The sequence below is a fragment of the Homo sapiens genome, chromosome 4 (assembly GCF_000001405.40).
Source record: "Homo sapiens chromosome 4, GRCh38.p14 Primary Assembly".
NCBI lineage: Eukaryota > Metazoa > Chordata > Mammalia > Primates > Hominidae > Homo > Homo sapiens.
Genome location: NC_000004.12, coordinates 23,374,547 through 23,396,195, shown reverse-complemented (window position 1 = coordinate 23,396,195; position 21,649 = coordinate 23,374,547). Strand labels below are relative to the sequence as shown.

The 21,649-nt window shown below is 35.4% G+C and overlaps 2 long non-coding RNA genes across 4 annotated transcripts in view; one reads left to right on the top strand and one right to left on the bottom strand.

Annotated features, from left to right (window-relative positions):
* Nucleotides 1-21,649, bottom strand: part of LOC105374524 (uncharacterized) — a 507,306-nt gene that overhangs the window by 108,642 nt on the left and 377,015 nt on the right. The gene's annotated exons all lie outside the window — the stretch shown is intronic.
* The window catches only part of LOC105374523 (uncharacterized), a 97,876-nt gene that overhangs the window by 4,213 nt on the left and 72,014 nt on the right, over nucleotides 1-21,649 (top strand). For 2 of the 3 annotated variants that reach the window (XR_925460.2, XR_001741614.1), the window contains exon 1: nucleotides 2,996-3,221. This is a non-coding gene — a long non-coding RNA (uncharacterized LOC105374523). Of the gene's footprint in view, nucleotides 1-2,995; nucleotides 3,222-21,649 lie in introns of those variants that run through there. The other variant, XR_925461.2, reaches the window with a different exon arrangement.

Here is a 21,649-nt window from a genome sequence, read left to right as displayed (position 1 = left end):
TATACAAACACATGAAAATTATACAACATGATATTGAATGATCAGTGGGTCAATGAAGAAATTAAGAAGGAAATTGAAAAATTCTTGAAACAAATGATAATGGAAACATGACATGTAAAAACCTATAGGATACAGCAAAAGCAGTACTAAGAGAGAAATTTATAGCTATATGCAACTACATCAAAAAAGTAGAAAAACTTCAAATAAACAGTCTAACCATGTATCTTAAAAAAACTAGAAAACAGGCCAGGTGCGGTGGCTGACATCTGTAATCCCAGCACTTTGGGAGGCCGAGGCTGGTGGATGACGAGGTCAGGAGATCAAGACCAGCCTGGCCAACATGGTGAAACCTCGTCTCTATTAAAAAATACAAAAAAAATTAGCTGGGTGTGGTGGTGTGCGCCTGTACTACCAGCTACTTGGGAGGCTGAGGCAGGTGAATCACTTGAACCAGGGAGTCCTAGGTTGCAGTGAGCCGAGATTGCACCACAGCACTCCAGATTTGCAACAGAGCCATACTCTGTCTCAAAAAAACAAAAAACAAAAAACAACAACAAAAAAACCTAGAAAATAAAGGGCAAACCAAACCAAAGATCAGTAAAAGAAAAGAAATAATAGAGATCAGAGCAGAAACAAATTAAATTGAAATGAAGAAAACAATACAAATGATTGATGAAATGAAAAGTTGGTTTTTGAAAAGATAAATAAAATTGACAAACTTTTAACCGAACTAAGAAAAAAGACAGAAGACTCAAATAAAATCAGAGATGGAAAATGAGACATTAAAACTGATACTGCAGAAATTCAAAGGATCATTAGAGGTAACTATAAGCAAGTATTTGCCAATAAATTGGAAAACCTAGAAGGATAAATTCCTAGACACATACAAACCACCAAAATTGAGCCATAATGAAATTTAAAAACTGAACAGACAAATAACAAGCAATGAGATTGAAGCCATAATAAAAAGTCTCCTAGCAAAGAAAAACCTGGGACTTGGTGGCTTTACTGCTAAAATTTACCAAACATTTTAAGAATAAATAATACCAATCCAACTCAAATTCATTCTATTACATCAGCATTACCCGGATACCAAAACCAGACAAAGACACATAACAAAAAAGAAAAGAATACTACAGGCAATCCCTGATGAACATAGATGCAAAAATCCTCAACAAAATTCGACAATACACTAAAATGATCATTTGTCATGACCAAGTTATATTTATTCCAGAAATTCAAAGATGCTTCAACATATGCAAATTAATCAATGTGATACATCATGTCAGCAGAATGAAGGCCATGAATCATATGAGTATTTCAACTGATTCTGAAAATCAGAGAAGAAAAATTTAACACCCCTTCATAATAAAAACCCTCAAAAAACTTGTGTTGAAGGAACATACCTCAACATAATAAAATTCATGTACAACAGACCCACATTTAGTGTCATACTAAATAGGGAAAAACTGAAAGTCTTTCTTCTAAGATCTGGAACATGACAAAGATGTCCACTATCACCACTGTTATTCAACATAGTACTGAAAGCTCTAGCTAGATCAATCAGACAAGACAAAGAAATAATGGGCATCCAAATCAGAAAGGAGAATGTAAAATTATCCTTCTTTGCAGATAATATCTTATATTTGGGAAAAACAAAAGATTACAACAAGAAATACTATTTGCACTAATAAATTCAGTAAAGTGGCAGGATACAAAATCAACGTACAAAAATCAGTAGCATTTCTATATGCCAACAGCAAATATTAAAAATGTGAAAAAGAAACTAAAATGCAATCCCATTTACAGTAGCTTAAAATAAAATTAAATTCATATGAAGTAACTTAACCAAAGAAGTGAAAGATCTCTACAGTAAAAACTATAAAACACTGAGGAGAGTAATTCAAGAGGACAAAAATATGGAAAGATATTTCATTCTCTTGGATTTGAAGAATCAATATTAAAATGTCCATACTACCCAAAATGATCTACATATTCAATGCAATCTCTATCAAAATACCGATGACAGTCTTCACAGAAATAGAAAAAACAGTTCTAAAATTTATATGGAACCACAAAAGGCCCAGAATAGTCAAAGCTATTCTGAGCAAAAAGAACCAAACCAGAGGAATCACATTATCTTACTTCAGATTATACTACAGAGCTATAGTAACCAAAACAGCATGGCAGGATGGTAGTGGCATAAAATTAGACACATAGACATCTCTTTTTATAGGAATCAGGAGTCGAAAAGTGAACAAGATGGTCTCTTTCCTAAAACTCTTCAAATTTTTGTCCTCTTAGCCCATTGAGTTTACCTACTAAGCCTATGCAATAAAAATGTGGTTATCTGTTATCTGCTACATGAGAGGTTTTTGGCCTCTACCAAGATAAGATTACACTGCTTTTATCCTTATGAGGCTACTCCTTCAATGGCAACCTGAATATTTTCAGGTTTTATCCTTGGACCAACTTTGTGACTTATACTCACCTCATAAAGTTATGAAATGGTTTGGGAATGTACATCATATAATCAACTTCAAGGTCAGCCTTTTTAACCAAAGTTGACACCGCCCTTCCTGTTATATTTTTCACTCCAAATTTTGGCCAGCCACACTGTCAATGGAGCTTGCAGGAAATTTATTTATCAGATGAAGTGACAGCATTAAGATACTTCAATAGTAAAGTATACAAGGACAATCCAGTAGTACAACATGTAAAACACAGAAATGTTTCCATCTGAATATAAACTATCCTACTAATAAATTTATGAAGAGAAATAAAGCTATAGATATAACACTTTGCAAGTTAAAGATCAGAAATAATAAAGTCCAAACTTTAATTATTTTTATCTGTATGCTTAAAAGAATCTAGCTTTCCACAGTTTCATATTCTGCACAGCCTCTGCCAGAGATATTTTTGGTGACTGATGGCATTGGGGTTTCATCAGCAGCTGTAACCTGGACTGTCTTTCAAAAAGTTCTGTATACTTTCTTCAGTCGCATGTTAACTTATTTCCAAGACTCTGATGTTTCTAACCTTTTAAAGATTTCAGAGAATTAATGGGACACATGAGATTTTCACAGTCCTGGCCCTGCAGTCATCCAATTGGAGAATGAGCCAATCCTCTTTCGCAAGGGCAGTTATCCCAGACAAGTTCATGTTCCAAGAAGCCAGATCAGTGTTTCCGGAGACCGTGGCAGATACTTGGTGGCATTGGGGTAAGGACGATGAATGGAGAAAATGTGGTTGTCACCATTACTGGAATATGGGTTAGTTGTCTTTTTCTGGAATCTACAATCTGTAAACTTAACTTCATATTGGAGAAATCTCTGTGTAAATGATTCATTTTAGCATGGCTAATTTACCCTGTCCGTGATGGAGGTGAACATTCATGTTTACATAACGTATCTTCTGCCACAGAATGCCATTTTTGTATTTTGTTGTCCTTTTGAAAAATTCAGCAATTTACAATGTTTATGGCCTTATTCTCCATTTCCTATTTTTGTTGTTCTGCATAGACCCTCCTACTGATATTCTTAACACACTCTCCTGTGAGTAAGCATTCCCCATCCTGTTTTCATCAATTCTCAGTATGGAATTAATTTGGTGTAAGACACCTGCCTCCTTAAGTGATTTCTTCAGGAAGACTTTTCCTTAAGTAATTAACCAGCATAGAGCCAGTTCAGGACTCTGAGGTGACGAATGACTTTGGAGTCACCGGAGAAGTTATATCCAACTTCTTGACTTTTTCATCTCACTGACTAGGAAGGCAATTGTTAAAGGGAGATAATTGTCCAAGGGTTTCTCCTTCACCATTTTCTCTTTTTGCTTCTGATAACCCATATAACTTTACAGCTTCAACCATTACCTTTTTTGCAAATTTATCCACTTTGCTCAGACTACCCATTTATGCTCCAATAGTGCAATTTCAATTTTTTAGTGAACATATATATTTTGAATACTTACCATCATCTCAAATTCAACATGTCTGAAATTAAATTAATAATTTACCCTCTCCTACCAATAAGCTGGTACCCAAATTGTTTCCTCAGCTTCTTCAAAGGATGATACCATACTTAACCATCTAGGCTTGAAATTTCAGCATCATTTTTTATTTTTGTTCTGTGCAAAGTCATCCATCCTTTTGAAACTGTTTTATCTAACTTATCTTCTACAAAGCCTTTTCTCTTAGTGTGTCTATATAATTATATTGACGTATACATAATCTACACTTAATAATGTATACATATGTACACACATGCACATACCATACATATTTATATGTGTATGCATCCAAATACACACACATAGAGAAAGGGGTAATTCAGACTGAACTCCCTTAACATTTTTTCCCCTTCCATTTCTGAATTTACCCAGGTTTTCATCAACCACTACATATTTTTCTACTTAATAAGCTGTCCCTCATCCTTTGCCAAAGCTGTTAGACCTATGCTCTTATTTGTGTTTTCTCTTACCTTCCCTAGGTCTTTGTTCCATTGAGTATCTCCTCTATTTCACAGATTACATTTTTTATTAAATCTGAAAATACCTCTAGGCTCAAACCTGATCCTCCATTCTATATTGGGTAATGATATCACCATAGACTCAATTCCTCAAACCATGAGCCAAGAAATTATGCTTGACAGCCTTCAGTTTTACCACTCACATCTAGTTGTGAGGCCATACCTTCCAAATAACCCTCCAATATATTTATCTTTACTGTCATTGCCCTAGTTCATTTCTTCTTACTCAAATAGATTTCAAGTTATCCAGCTGGTAGTCCTGACCTCAGATAGTCCCCTGTGCTTCAATTAATTCTTCACACTACAGACAGATTTATTATTCCAAAATAAAACTATGATCATGCTGCATAACTTCCTTGCTTAAAATATTTCAGTGTTTCCCTAGCCTGCTGCCTGAGGTCCAGATTCCTTAGGGAGACATACAGGGACACTGAAGATCTGATACTAACCTTACCTTATGCCACTTCCTCCCATTCTCCAACCAGATTGACTATTTCAAGGGTTGTCTGAATATATTACGGCAATTTTTCCTCCTCTACTTTTATGTGTATTGTTGTCTCTGCACATAACTGTTGCCTCAGTCTGAAACACATTTTCCCCTTTCTCAGCCAAGTACTTCAAGATCAAAGCCAGTTTTACTTGCCTTGGTTTCCTAAGAAATATTAGGCATTTTCTTTTCTGGGATTATATTTTTAAATAGCTCTTACTCATTACATTGTAACATAATTATTGTATTATCTTGGTCTTTATTTATCATTCCTTTGCTCTCATTTACTTGTGCTTTCCACATTTAGAGTAAGATTCAAGATGTTTTTTAAAGGTCTACAAGACCCTGATCTTGCCTTTGGCTACTTTCCTGACCTCATTTCCTTCCACCTTCTCCCCAGCGGACTCCGCTCTAGCCACATGGTCCTCCTTCCTGTTTCCACACTCATTCTCATATAAGGTACTTTGTGTTTGCTGTTCCTTATGCCTCTTGTCCTCTTCCCTAGGTATTTCCATGTCTGGTGCCCTCCTTTCATACAGGTTTCTGCTCAAGCATTGCTTCCCTCTAAAGGCTGTTTTTCCTGAGTGTGTAGTTTGGGATGACCCGTGCTTCATATTTCCCAGGCATCTTGAATTACATTCTTCAGAATAATACATTCCCAGCCTGCCATCTGAATTACAACTCTTTGACTTGTTCGTAAGGGTATATGTGCAACTTGTTCATCATGTCGTAAGCATTCTGGTGTTGGCAAAGTATGGCTGGTATATTGTAGTTTTCTTTGGGAAATAATACTAGAGCCAAGTTTTCATGTGAAGGTCATGATTAACCATGGATTAACTTAAACCCCCAAAAGCCTTTGGGAATATTTGACTACTGTGAATTAGGATAGCATGTAATGTAGTGGAATGTTTATCTGGACTTATTGCATAAAGAAATATACCTCAAGATAATATAGGACCTATCTATGCATATTATTTTGTAAACAAATGTCATAATGTGGACACTGGCTTTGTGTGCTACCTAATTTATAGTATAATACATACAACTAAATATTGTTGTACAGTAGATGGTAGATTAGCACCTTTGTGTTCAAAAATGAGGTTTACCATCAAGAATAACGTATAGTTGAGATAATCAAATATCTGCCTTTGCCCTAGGAACACCAGAGGACCCTCACTCTCAGGGTGAATGTTGGGTTATACTGACCTAAATACTAAGTGTGCAATCAGGGATTATCCCAACATCTGTTTAGGAAAGACAGATGTTGTCATTATAGACCTTCATTCATGTGCTCCTCCATAGTTAAAAAGAATGATTCCCATACATTGAATTCATAAAAGCAAGCAAGAAACAGGCAGAAAAAGAAAAATGGAAGTCTCCAGAATATTTTGAATAAGAAGTTTCAAGACCAGAGGAAAAAAGAAGAAAATAGAATGGGGAGTTAGGGGGTGTGGCAGTGGTGAGAGGAAAAAAAAAAAGGTATTGTGAAGAGGTCTACAGCTACATAAAAAGCCTTTGTATAGTTTGTCTTATGTGAAATTTAATAACCATATAAAACCCAATACGCTTGTTTCATTGCAAGCAGGAGGATGCTATATAAAAAAAAAAAGGCTGGAGAAACAGCATGCAACTCATAAAAGACATGCAGTTTGAATTTATACATGCATCCATCATGGGATAGTGTGCACCAGAGGCAGACCAAGACATTTAGTGGGAATACAAGGTGGTGCTTCCTTCTCTACAGAAAAAGCTGTTCAATCATAGCCAAGCACCTGATACACATAGGCATTACCAAAGAGAGTGACTTTTCAGGACAATAAAGAGTAGCAATTCATACTTTGCTTTAACAAATGGACAAAGCAGGCTGGCTGTAGTCTCACTGTTGAGGAAAGTCAAGGGCTGCCTGCAGGAAAAGGTCTTATTATGGCAAGGGACATCTAGTCTTTGCCCACATCTTGCCTCCTTGGCTGTGCCTTGAGAATAACAGGTGGCCGAAGTTTTGTGCCAAGTTCATTCTTGACCACAGAGCTGCCCCTTAGTGGATTCTGTGATTCAGAGCTTTGGGAAAAAGGAAAGGGCATAACTACCTGGTCACTGACATAAAAATTACCACCAGCCTGTGAATCTCAGGTCCTCCCCTTGGAGATTGGCTTGGACCCAAAACCACTTCTATCTACTGATAACAGATTGTGATATTTGTGCTCCAGTTTCATTGATCAAGGCTGCCAGCAAAGTTCATCTTACCTAGATTTTATCCAAGTGACTAAGAGAGGGGCAGATGGACCTGGCACAGTGTCATTTGTCTGGGGCCTTGACCCTGCCTAGGTATGGTGCCTGCTGGCAGTTGAACATTTTATACTCCTGGGTTTTTATCCAGGTTCTAATCTTGCAGCTGCATTCAGGGAAAACACCCTAAATACAGCTTCTGTCAAACGAGCCTCACAGTTGAATGTTCTTCCCAGGACCTGTAAAGGACAAATTGAACTATTTACTCACACATACCTCCCTTTTCAAAAAGACTGCTGTCAACACACTTCCTAAACACAGACTAATTGCACAAATTAAGATGGCGGTTTGGTGATTTTCAGGGAAATCTAAAAGCTTCAAAAAATCTAAATGGTTTTGTAAGTCTTCAGAATGCACACTTACAACAGCATAAATGAGGGCTTCTCTCCCATTAGGGAACTGGAGTCTGTTACTTTATCCCCATTGACTCTCGTAATGTCCCTGGCTCAGCACCACATGCAACAGATGCAAAGGGTCACCAGTGAAGGGCAAAATATTTTGTGAAAATAATAGAACTATGCTATCTACGTAGCCAGTTTTTCCCACTCCGCACTTTCAGTGCTATCGCCTTGCTTTCATATAGTGATTTTCTTTTTATTTGCTAGAGTTTATTTTGTTGAATATGGCGAAAGACAAAAAAACAAAACAAAACAAAGGGAAGGTCGTTTTGTTTTTTCCCCAAGTATTAACCAAGCACTGTCCAGAGCCTTCTTCATATGAGCTTTGCCGTCCTAAAAAAATTTTCTTTGTTATGCCTCTTCCTTGCTCCTGAACCTGAGTGATTTGCTTAGCTAATCAAGCTTAAATAATATGTAACAGGCAAGAAAAAGAAATCACTAAAATATAGAAATGGCTGCAGCTGTTTTCTGCATTATAGGAGAATAGCAGAATTCATCTCTGGAGTAGATGCTCTTTTGTTTAGGAAAACACACTGATGAAATTTTTAGATTATTCAAAATTAGGTCCCCAAGACTGGTCCAGGGTGGAAGTGGAGACAGAAGAACAAAATTACTCTGAAGTATCAAGTGTCAAGAAGTTTGCCTTTGAGCCTTGCTGGTTTTAGGGGTAGAAGTAGTGGTGTATTCTAGAAATAGGAGAATATGGAAATTGAGACAAACACATTATATACAAACACTCACACTCACAGACACACAGAGACATCAGGAAATTGTGGCCAGCTGGATTCTGAGCAAGAATAAGGCTTTCTAAAAAATGTCTTGGGATAGAGATGGCTAAAAAATTTTAATAGTCATATTTATCAATCCTAGGCTGTTTGCCATTTTGCTGTAATATCCCCCCAATACCTCTGTATAATTCCCCTAATCTTCAGTTAGAATGTAATATTCTGTACCTTATAGAATATTATATTCTGCACCACTTTGAATTAGTGGTGGTTCCAGCAATGAAGGGGACAGGCTGCGTCTATGCACAGAGCCAGGTAGTACCTAGAAGGTTCAGGAGATGTAGAAGTAAATAGGTATTGTAAAAGGAAAGATGTGGAAGGAGAAGCAGAAGTAAGATGGAGAGGATGGCAGAGGTAGGTGCAGGAGAACATCAGCACTCCTGCCCTGGAACCCTCAGGAAATGGAGAAGGGTGCAGGCTTTCTCACAGCTGAGATTGGATCATGGTATTTTATTTGGATATAAAAAGAAACTATAGCCACAGCAAGTTGTATCTTGCCACAAATAAAACTGTTCACAGTTCCTTTTGGGTACCCTCAAACCTGAACCTCCTCCCCATGTCTGCCAGCTCTGCTGTCCATTTCCCACTCTCTCCAAACACTGCCTATAACCATTCTGTGCTTTCTGTTAAGACATTTTCTTCAGTCTGGAAAGCCCCTGTATTCATTTCACTGATTAGTCGCATTCTACCCGTTATTCAATGCCCAATTAAAATTCCACCTTTTTCATGAAGTTGATTCTGGCCCTTGGAGCCTACATGTTAATCTCCCATTTCTGAAGTCCGATAGCACTCGTCGCAAGAAAGGCATAATACAGCAATGTGATAGTAATCTTCTATTTTCTGTTTCTTCTATCTTCACTTGGTTTGCCCCAGACAATAATGGATATTCTTAGGGTAAAGAAAATGTGTTGTTTATTTTTCTTATATGTTTCGACTCTACCTAGCTTATTCCTGGATACCTACTAACGTTTCAATTTGCATTAGGTTAACGGATAAAGAGTTGCATCAGTCTTTAAAATAAGCATTTGTTATCCAGTAAAAGTTCGCTCATGGGAATCCAGCCAAGCATTGTGTCCTCAGTTGATGTTGCTTAGGTGGGCCAGTGTATGGTAAATAAAAAAAATTACTATAATGAATAAAACATTATGAAAATCTTCAAAATAATTTTGAAAAATAAGACTTTCTGATCTCTATCTTTATGTGCTGTCCAATTCCACATAATTTTTCTACCTCTTCCTATTCATAAATGAACTTTTATTTCCAATATAACTTCATTAAGAGAAGCCGAAAGAAAGAAAAACCTAATGAATTCCTTTAGTCAAAGAGTGATTCAACATGGGAGAACTTATGAATTCCTTCAACAATTATTTAAATATTGGGAGTACAATTAGATTAATGAAAGGCTAGTATTTCAAACCTCAGGTCAACTTGAGTATGGCAAGTTCAGACATTAAAGTACAATCACAGACACAAATAAAGTGTATATTTTGAACAATTCTACATGGGTCAAGGGTACTGGAAGGCCTACAAAATTCAATCCATGTGCCCATTTTTACTGTTGGCTTCCCTTTTTATGCTTTCCACTTTTTGGTTTTGCTTTTTCTTTCTCTTGCACCCTTTTCCTTTTGCTCCATGCCTTATTCTGCATACAGCTTTGCATCTGTTACCTTCACAGCTCTTTCTCATTTATGAGCTGTTGTTGGGCTACCATCTTCTGCAAAAAGGCTGTATTAACTGAGAACACTTGGAAATAAAATGAAGGTGCCCCTCACATGAAGGTTAGTTTATAAAGTCAGAGCATAAACAAGAAGAAAATTGGATATTTTGAAATTACCCTTGGAACTCCCTTTGGTGGGTGCCATGTAAGAGACCTTCTCTCACCAAATTGAGCAAAGTCAGTGTTTCCTCCAGCATTGGAATTGATCACTGTATATTCAGCTGAACCCCTGATAAAGGAGTTGGCTTCTTCACATAGGCTATGTTGATCCAAAAATGAGGTCTTTAAACACATTTAACGGGATGAGCTGCTAAGGCTTTTTGAGGCATATGGCAACCAAGATGCCGGCAGAAGGCAGATTCTGGGCTCCCAATTTGTGCAATTTATTCTAGTTCTGGAATATTTGCACACTGAACGACTGTACAAGCTGAATATCAGTATCAATTTAATGGATAAGTCTTCTTTTCTACTTCTTTTCTTTCCTTTACCTTCTTTTTCTCTTTCTTTCCCATCAAAATACATATGATAAAATCCCATTGAGTTGAATATGCATATCATGTAATAGTACCCTAGCGTCAGATGAAAGTGCCCATTGCCTTGTAAATAAAGTCATATATCTCTCCATTATGCTCTTAGTCATTCACTTGAAAATAATTGAGGATATGCACAGAGCTTCTGCCCATCAAAGGTGGCAACTTGCATGGTCCAACAGATGGGTTTTTTGTCTTAACCCTTCATTGTCTCTTATCTTTGAATTGTGTTAATAGATCTGATTAAGCAAAAAGAAAAAAAATGAAGTAAATATTTTCCATCATTAAAATTGTTTTTGCTTGCTTTGCTTGTCGCATGGGAAGGCTTTGGATCTGTTTTTTTTCCCCTGTGTCTCTCAGTCAAGATGCGATGAACAATGATGTTGGTGAACCTCACCATTGCACTGCTGACCGGAGTCAGCCTGGCTTCATCTTCCCTCTCAACTTCAGAGTGAGTGACAGAGCTGGAGGGAATGGCATTGAGAGTCTGGCTGCTCTTCCACTAACTGGAAGGAAACAGTATGCAGATCTGAGTACTTCAGACCAGCCTAGATGACTCAGTAGATTGGCTTTCAGGGAAAAAAATATTTCTCAGTACTTATAATAACTATGTTATACATTATGGGCATAAATGCAACTCCTCTTGGAGCAGGCACTGAAATTAACCCACAAAGTTTCTAAAATATATGCTTTGGGAGTAGATCAACATTATATATCCATATTTTCTCAATGACAGTATTAAATTTACTGACTCATAAATGTATCCTGTAGTTCTTTTCATGTGGTCATTTATTTGGCAGATTTGGAGAAAATTTTATGACTACCATTTAATTCACTTTTAAGTGATGGTTTTACTCTTCAAGTTCATTGAACGAAATAAGACTATTTGATGGAGAAAAGATTTTCTCCATATGTAAAAATAAAATTTATTAGGCAATTTTTGCCTTGCCGATAATTTTTCTAACTGCATCTTAAGGAAAGTTAGTCTATTTTGAAGTTCAATATAATAAATAACAATAATTGATTTACTTAATGTTTTATTTGTTAATTCACACAAATGTATTAGTATGATTTTATAGTTTAGTTACAGTAGCAGCAGTATAATATATAATTACTGATCTGAAGAACAAACAATATCTATACTTTATATCTTTAAACATATCTCAATTTATATTTGTAATAATTGGATGCCCTCAAAACCCAGATGGCTATAGAAGGAATAGAAAGTAGGTGCTCCTCATAAGTAATCTTTTAATCATGGCAAGAACATAATTTCCTAGGCGCCTATTACAGGGTCAATGATAATATATTATCACATTAATCTTTACAGCATCCCTGTGAAGTTAAGGGAGTTATTTATCTGTACCTTTTACTGAAGCTCCATGTATCAGGAAAGCAGCTTAGTTTATTCAGCTTGTTGGTGGCAAATGCAATCATCAAAATTGGTTTGAATTTCTGTCCATATTTCCTGCTGCCTCTTGAGTTTGGAGTTATGTTTTCATCTCTCAAATCAGAAACAATAATACAAACATCCACCATGTTTGGCATGGTGCTAATTTTAGACTAGGTTTCCAAGGCAGTTTGAGATAGTCTCTTAGATTATAAACTGTTACCTGCATTCAAGCTGGTTGGTTATTTCCCACCCACATGCAAGACTGGCAAGATTACTAGCTAGGAAGATTCTAGTGTTGATACTCTTCTATTCAAAGATCTTCAGGAAACTGTAATAGGATTATTTTCACAAAAAATTGTTGAAGATACTGGTCTAGAACACATCTAGCATGCATCAAACATGACCTTTGGACACATTTCTTTTTCTCTTTAGATTTGTTTTCTTATGACAACTTTAATTTTCTATTGGCTTATTATAAGAAGAATATTTCACAGAGAAATGAAATATTTAGACTGTCTAAACATCAAGCAATAAGTATTTACCAATTAGCCACTATGGAGATATTATAGAGAATTAAAAAGAAGTATGTGAAGTTAGTCTAACTCTTAAAGAAGCTTAAAATAAGCAGAGGAGGCATATATATACATTTGTGAAATCACTAACACTGAAGTACTGTATGACTAAGTGGAAAATGACTACTAAAGAAAATAAAGGCTGCCCTAAATCTTGTGCAATTTTAAATTAAGAAACTTTATTAAAATGTGTCATGAAATAGAAAGTAATTAGTATCAGGGACATGATTTTAAAAGTTTCAGGCATCATAGTACACAATCACTGGAGTTAGAAAGCCTGGATACAAGTCTGTCATTTGACTGCCATTTTTCAGCTGTGTGGTTTTAGAAAACCACTTACCTCTCTGTGCTTCACTTCCTTATCTATAAACTGGGGGGACATTCTTTGTAGGTTGTGCTGTTTATGTGATGTAAGTGATGCTCATGTTTACTCTACTGCTCTAGACTAAATAGTCATGAGTCATTCATTCAGGCAGTGGCTATCAGTTACATACTTAGCAATAGCCATTAGCTGCCCATAGTCTTTGACTAAATAATTCTACTGATATATCTTTATTATAAAGAGAAAGTCTTAGGGAGGGTATAGTCAATTGGCATTTGTTGAGTTTACACTGGGTGAAGTCCACATACTCTTTTCGACTTAATCCCAGTGAAAACCCTGTGAGCTTGGCCCAGTGAAGCCCAGAGTGGTCAAGTAATTTGCCAGTAAGTAGAAGTGAAGTTAGGTTTGAACATACACCTTGTACAAAGTTCCTACTGTGCAATCAGTCATGCCACAGCACATACACATTGCTAGCTACACAAATACGTTTCTGAAGTATAACCTACTATAATGAAAATAATCAGAAACTATCTAAATTGCCAACATCAAATAATAAGTTAAATTAAATATGGTAAATGAACTTAATAAAATGGATGCATTTATAAAAATTATAATTTAATATACTATTTAGTAAGACTATAAAGAGAATAATAAAATAATATAAAAGAATTCTTAATGTTACATAAATATGTAAACATTTGCTATACGTTAACATAAAAGATATGTATTTATGTATAATTTATACATAGTTTAGGCTGTATTACATTTTTACATAAAATTTCTGAAGTCAGAAATTTAAATATAATGTATTAATTTGCACATTTTTGAAGGTTGCTAATTTGTTTATAAAATAACTTCAAAGTATATGTAGAGCAACTTCTAATTGTTAGTCACTGAAGTTAGTTCCGTGTGTTTAATGATGAGGAGGTGGAGTGGCCTCCCTGAAGGAGCTTGCAGTCCACTAATCCAGTAAAGACATTTATACTTTCAAAATGCTTTTGCCATTTAGAAACAAACACAAAACTAGTTTTCTATAGTATTCTTTCTTTAATCCAAATTGAAATCTATGTAGTTGGAATATACAAGGATAAAATGAAATAAACATTTAAACATAGCAGAATATTTATTATATAAGCCTGAATTGTGTAATTCACTTTTAAAAGAAAAAAACCCACTGACACCATGAAATAAATTAATAATAAATTCACCTATATGAAAATTACTATGAATGAAGAAAAAAGAAAACAGGACTGGGGAATAATATCTGTAACACACAGGGCAAATTAATTTACTATATATGATTGGCCAAATCCTAATAAACAATTAGATAACTTGAAAATGTGCCTGAATAAATAACACAGCATAGAAAAGTAAAGAAATTTTAAAAAATTTAGAATTGCAGAAGCAGCATATGGAGGAAATGAGACAAAGGCCCAAATGAAAAGAGATAATGGCTGAAAATGTTCTTGAAGTGATGAAAACCAGTGATCTTCCATTTCAGGGAAAAAACACATCTCAACCAAGACTTAAAAAAGAAAAAGATTCATATATAGACACTTTATTGTTATTTTCAAACTGCAACACACTAAAGACAAGCCTAAGATCTCTGAAACATCCAGAAAAGATAAACAAATCATCCACAAAGAATATGAAATTAGACGATCATTGGAACTCTCAAGGTAAAAGTCAGAGCACAGTGAAATTGTGACCTTAAACTTCTAGATAACAAAGTAATGAGAGCCACCCTAGTTTCAGTCTCTGTATGATTTTTTTTTAATGGTGGCAAAAAAAAAATTTCAGAAACACAAACACAATCTTAGAGAATGGATTACCCTTAAGAATAAAGGATGTACATTAGGAGAAATGAAAATACTTTTAGAAGGAAATTCAGACATTTAAGGGGATCATGGAAATAAAAGGCAATTATGTGTGTAAATTAAAACAAATCCTGGTTGTTGAAAAGAATAAAAATGCTGACCAATGACAGTGGCTTAAGAATAAGTCTAAGTGATATGAAAACACTAGCCAAAAACATATGTCGGAAAGAAGTGATTAGAGTTGATACATTCTGAGTTATTTTAAATCATCTATATTGTTAAAAATTTCAAGGGCTAAACATGAAAGAGTACACACATATTACTTTAAAGGGAAAAATAAAATTTAGAGTGAAATATTCCACCAAAAATCAGTCAATAACAGAAAAAAATGAGATAGAAAATAAGCAGAAAAATAAATCAGGACAAATTAAAATACAAATAATCTCTTAGAAATAAAACAATATGTATAGTTTATCTTAATCAAGGTTAGCAGGCTAATCAATACATAAAAATCAACACTCTTTTACTGGGTTAGGAATGGACTTCTGGCTGGGTGTGGTGACTCACTCCTGTAATTTTGGTACTTTGAGAGGCTAAGGTGGAAGGATTGCTTGGGCCCAGGAGCTGGAGACCAGCCTGGGCAAGATGGTGAAATACTCCCATCTCTACAAAATTTGTTTTAAAACTCAGCCATGCACTGTGGTGCACCCCTGTAGTCCCAGCTACTCGGGAGGCTAAGGCAGAAGGATACCTGGAGCCCAGGAGTTCAAGGCTGCAGTGAGCTATGATTGTGCCACTGCACTCCAGCCTTGGTGACCAAGTGACACCTCATGTCTTTAAAAAAAAAAAAAAAAAAAGTGACTTCTACTATGTGCTGCTTAAAATAAACACAGCAAAAAGAGAAAGATGCAGCATAATTGTAAGTAAATGATGGAAAAATTATAACCCAAATGTAATAACAGAAGACTATAGAGCTATATTAAGAGAAGACTAATACATCAAGACGCTTTCCTAGACCTGAGGAGAGTCAATGCAGAACTATAATATTTTCACTAAATTAAAAAGATACAACAATTTTAAATGTATAATTTCTATAATTTCTGTATCTTAAAAACTAACGCAGTATTTACCAAAAATGAATGTAGTTTGGCTGAAATGCAAAGCCCAATAAATTTTTTAAAATTAGAATCATTTGAAATATAATCTTTGATAAAATTCAATTAAGATAGAAATAAAAAAACAGAGACATAATCTAAACTTCTCTATTTTAGAAATTTTAAAATATACCTAAAAATATACTACTGAAAAATTCGGGGCCAAAAGAGAAATCATAATGAAAATTCAAAAATACTTAGAACAAAATAACAATAAAAATATCATGCAAGAAATTTTGTGGGAGGCAGTTAAATTTCAGAATAATTAGAGAGAAATATATAGTTTTAAGTTCTTATGGTAGAAAAGAAGATATCTTGAAAGCTAATAAATTAGGCATCTATCTTAATTTAGAAAAAATGAAAAAAACTTAAGGAATGAATAATGAAACAAATAATAAAGGTTAGAGTAGACATGATGAAAAAGAAAAAAATACATCATTACAAAGGATTTAGAACTATAAAAGTTACTTCATTGAAAAAGGCGAATAAAATGAACAGAAGTCTGGCAAGATTAAGTAAAAACATTGGAGGCCATATAGTAAATATAAGTTATCATATTAATAATGTAAATAAACTAACAGGTTTTTATTGAATTAGGCTTCGTCTGTATGCGTATCTGCTGCCTCCCGATACATTATCTATTCTTAACCTGCAGAATTGAATGCAACTTTTTAAACAAAGACATTCTGATGCACTAGTTTTTTGTTGTGGTTGTTGTTCCACTTTGAGGCAAGGTTGTAGTATTTTCCAATTGAGATGAAAAATGTTAACATTATTTTTATCTCTCTCATGGATTCATGATTCTTCCCTTTTTTTGGTCTTTACAAAAATTTCTTAAGATAAAAAAGCTGAAACTATAAAAGAAAAGCTACCATAGTTTTAAGATCTGTTTCTCAACAGACATTATGTAGAGATTGAAAAGAAGACAAGCCCTAGGAAATGATATTTGTAATAAATAAAACCAGCAAAGAATTAGTGCAGAAATTGTACTTAATAAAAACTTTTATGAACCAATAAAAAAAGACAATCCAATATAAAAATGGGCAAAATATGTGAACAAACATTTCAGAATAGGAAAACCACAAATCAACCCCACATCATATGAAAATATTCTCAATTTTATTAGTAATCAGAGAAGAGCTAATTGTTTACTTACCAGATTGGAAACCACTGTAACATCTGAAAATACCAAGCATTTTCACACGAGTGGAATAATCACTGGTGGGGTTCCCCATTTAAACAGCCACTTTGGAAAATAATTTGGCATGTTTAATAAGGCTCAGCATATCTGGTAGCCAGTGATTCCACTCTTAAAGTCCTGTATCTTTGAGAAACTCATATGCTAGTCAACAAAGATATGAAACAACATCTGTAGAAGAACTGTGTTCAATAGCAAAAAATGTTCATTAATAGTGGGATATATAAATTTGTGATTATTCATTTAATGGAATATTATATAAGAGTAAAGATGAATAAACTAATTACATGCAACAATATGGATGAATCTCAAAAATCGAATGTGTGAAAGAAGCAAATCATCACTGGATATATAGAGTATAAAATATTATTCTATATACTTAATGTTCAAAACCAGCTATTACCAAATAGTACATATTTTAGGCATACATACATATAATAAAAATTTAAATCAAAGTTGTGAAATTATTGGCACAAAAAATTCAGTTACCTCTGAAGATGTTGAAATAGTTTACAGAGGTACATTTAGAAACCTTCAAGGTATTTCTTAAGCTTGATGTTAGGTACAGGGGGCTCTATTTATTTATTTATTAATTTATTTAATGTATTGAGACAGAGTCTCACTGTCACCCAGGCTAGAGTGCAGTGGCATGATCTCGACTCACTGCAGCCTCTATCTCACGGGTTCAAGCGATTCTCCTGCCTCAGCCTCCCGAGCAGCTGGGATTACAGGCACCCACCACCACACCCAGCTAACTTTTTTGTATTTTTAGTAGAGACAGGGTTTCACTATGTTGGCCAGGCTGGTCTCGAACTCACGACCTCAAGTGAACCGCCCACCTCAGCCTCCCAAAGTGCTGGGATTACAGGCGTGAGCCACTGTACCCGGCCTACTTTATTCACTTTTATTAATGTTCTTTAACATGTACATACATATTTATATACCCTCTTCGATATGTATGGCATATTTCCCAGTTACAAAATGAAAAAAAAATTCCATTCAAATAAGCTTCTTTTAATCTATTGAAATTTGGCCATTGAAACCATTTGTTGTTTTTTGTGCTTTCCCCAAACCCTGGCTAATAGTTCAGTACAAAATAACAGGAAAAATCACTTTTCTTAAGTAACATGATATTCTCTAAGAACCTCCCCGGAGGACAGCACATCTCCATTTATAGGAAAGGACATGGGAAAGTAAAACAGCCTTTGTACTGAATACTGTCTACCCGGTGTTGTGTTATAATCTTTACATCTATCTTATCTGATAAACACAGTGACCCTCTGAAACGTTATTTTTGCCATTTTTTTTTCTCCAGCAAACAGAAAATTAAGGCCCATCTCTTTTCAGACCTGTGACTTGAGGCCAATGTAGTTTCACTCCAAGTCCCTATTTTCTCTTCACGTGTTCAGTACCTACTTCTGACACTCTGAGATAGTGAGCTGCCTGAGATCAAGAACTGTTTTTCACCTTCCTACCCTTTAGTTCTGAGCACAAGATGAGGCTTGGAGTCTGCACAGTAAAAACTTAATTAATGATTCATTATCGCTGGAAGTTTTAGGATTGACATTTTTGGCTCAAGAACTCATTTGCGACTCATAATGGCCACCACAAGATAGGAACATTTTAAATTATTTGATTCAATGTTTTTACATTACAATTAAGTAAACTGAATCCTGACATATTTAGATGGCACGTCTGGGACACTACATCCACAGAATGAAGTGGAAAATCCATCTCTTCAGCTCTCTTCTCCTGGGCTTCTCATTCAAACACCTCCTCCTGTAAATTAGCTACTTTTTCTATCTGTTGAATAGGGCCCAGTTTAAGAGTTTAATACCTGTTTGTCCAATCCATTCTCTGACTTAGGTGTTCTCCTTAGTGAATAGAGCTGAGGACATTTTAATTAATTTATTATGTCCCTTCAATTAGGGGACCCAATTAATAATTGAAATGGGTTTTTAATTGGTTTATATCCTCTAGGGTATCATATTAATAACATAAATAAACTAACAGGTTTGCATTGAATTAGGCTTCATCTATATGCATATCTGCTGCCTCCCAATACATTATCTATTCTTAACCTCCAAAATTGAGTGCAACTTTTTAAACAAAGACATTCTGATGAACTAGTTTTTGTTGTGGTTGTTGTTCCGCTTTGAGGCAAGGTCATAGTATTTTCCAGTTGAGATGAAAAATGTTAACATTATTTTTATCTTTCTTATGGATTCATTATTTTTCCAGTTTTCTAGTCCTATAATGTTGAATTACCATTGAGTCATCTCTCTTCTTCAGATGTCAGTCTAATCATAGACTCATATACCTTTAGAGACAGGAAGATCTTTAGAAATTACTTGTTAAGAACCAATGCATTTGAAAACCAGAGGGGATCCATTGTGTGCTCAAGCTCACACAGCAAGCTAGTAGCAAGGACAGTGGTTTCTCTTTAGACATCTTCTTGATTTTTTTCTCAAATATCATTAATTTTAGTTGTTCATTTGCTTTGGTAAGTCACCGTAGAAGCCCCACTTCACATTTGGATTGGTCTTCCTTTCTCTTGAGAATAATTAAAGGATTTGCTTATCGAAAAAATCAAATGTAACTGTATTATTCTCAGCACTCAGTACAATACTAGACTCAATAGTCTCCATTACACGTTAATTGGAATAAACTGCCCAATGGCAACTATCATTTTCTCCTGTCTGTAGCATTAACTCCATGCACCTCAGGAGGGCATTCAAGCACAATCCACATCTGAATGCCTGGTCTAAATTTATGTTTCCAATCTTGTTCCTGATGTTTCCCTCACACAGATTATGTTTTGAATGTAGCTATCTCCTTTTCCGTTGAATCCCACTGGTTTATTCTTTCTTCCATGTCTCTAGTTCTGAAGGTTTTTTTTTTTTTTTTAATTCTTTGGTTTTTAAAGTATTACCCTCAGAACTTGATGAAGATTTTAATTCTTGTCCCTCTTCACTAACTCTGTGGGTGATGTCTACCAATCTGTTTTAGCGAGTCTTCCTGGTGATTCTGATGTGTGTGAAACTTTGAGAACCCCTGCTCTAACTTCTGGGATGGAGAAAGAGTCCTGGTAACCAAATTACACAGGTACCTCGAGACTCAAGTTTTTCTAAGTGGCTACACGAAGCCCTTTGCAATACTCAAGTCTACATCAAATTTCCTTTTTCAATGACTTAGAATAAGTTTTTTTTAAAATTTGAGGTACATGCCTTATTATTCCCAGGTGAGAGCTGGTTGAGGGCCTTTATTACTAATTTTTCTTCTAGAGGATACCTCACACTTGCTTGTGCTTCAATAAATGTTTATTGGATCACTAGGGGCAGTAATAATCATGATGATAATAACAATTAACTATTACAGTGGATGCCTGTCTTGTTTGTGGATCTACAACATCTTTTTCAACACTCTAAGTTTGGAGTTCCTTATATTATAGATTCTATTTTCTTTTCTTTTTTTTTTTCCTTTGAGACAGAGTCTTGCTCTGTTGCCCAGGACGGAGTGCAATGGAGTGATCTCGGCTCACTGCAACCTCCACCACGTGGGTTCAAGAGATTCTCCTGCCTCAGCCTCCTGAGTTGCTGGGATTATAGGCACTTGCCACCATGCCTGGCTAATTTTTGTATTTTTAGTAGAGACACGGTTTTGCCATGTTGGCCAGGCTCGTCTTGAACTCCTGACCTCAGGTGATCCACCCACCTCGGCCTCCCAAAGTGCTGGGATTACAGGCATGAGCCACCATGCCTGGCCTTAGATTCTGTTTTCTCAAAATAAAAGAATAAACTCATCCACCTTCTCTTATAGCCAGTGCACCACCAATCAGAGGCCTCAAAGACCTAGTGATGGAGAAAGGAAGGGCCTGAGAGCTCCTTCTTCTCTAATACAGCAATAAGGCCAAGTTCCTCAGAAATGACAAGTTTCCAAGAATAGAGCATTGGCATCTAATGTTCAATGGTGGGGTCCACAGTTTTCTTGCTTTTCTTATCAGATCAGCTCCTGAAAGATTAGCAGTTACTCTGGTTCCCCAGCACGCCTAATGATTCTGTGGGCTACTCAATATATTTTCAATAAACTCTCTTTCTTAGTAAGCCAGAGTCAGATTTTGTTGCTTGCAATATAGAACCTTGGCTGATGCAGGAATAATAATCACTGCTTTATTTCATTGAGTAGTTGATAAGTCTATTACATGGACTTAACTTTCCAAATGTAACAGAAAATATATAATTTATAAGTCTGAAAAGGCATTACGGTCAATATATAATTGACTAGTCTAAAAAGACAAAGATTGCAAATTAAGTCACATTTGTTTATCTCTTGTTCAGGTTTCCACATATGAATACCTGACACTCTCACAGTTCAGAAGGACAGCATGAAGTAATGGCTAACACATTCCTTTTTGTTGTAAAGTAAATCGTCATTCCTCAAGGGAACAGTGGTGATCACTATCCA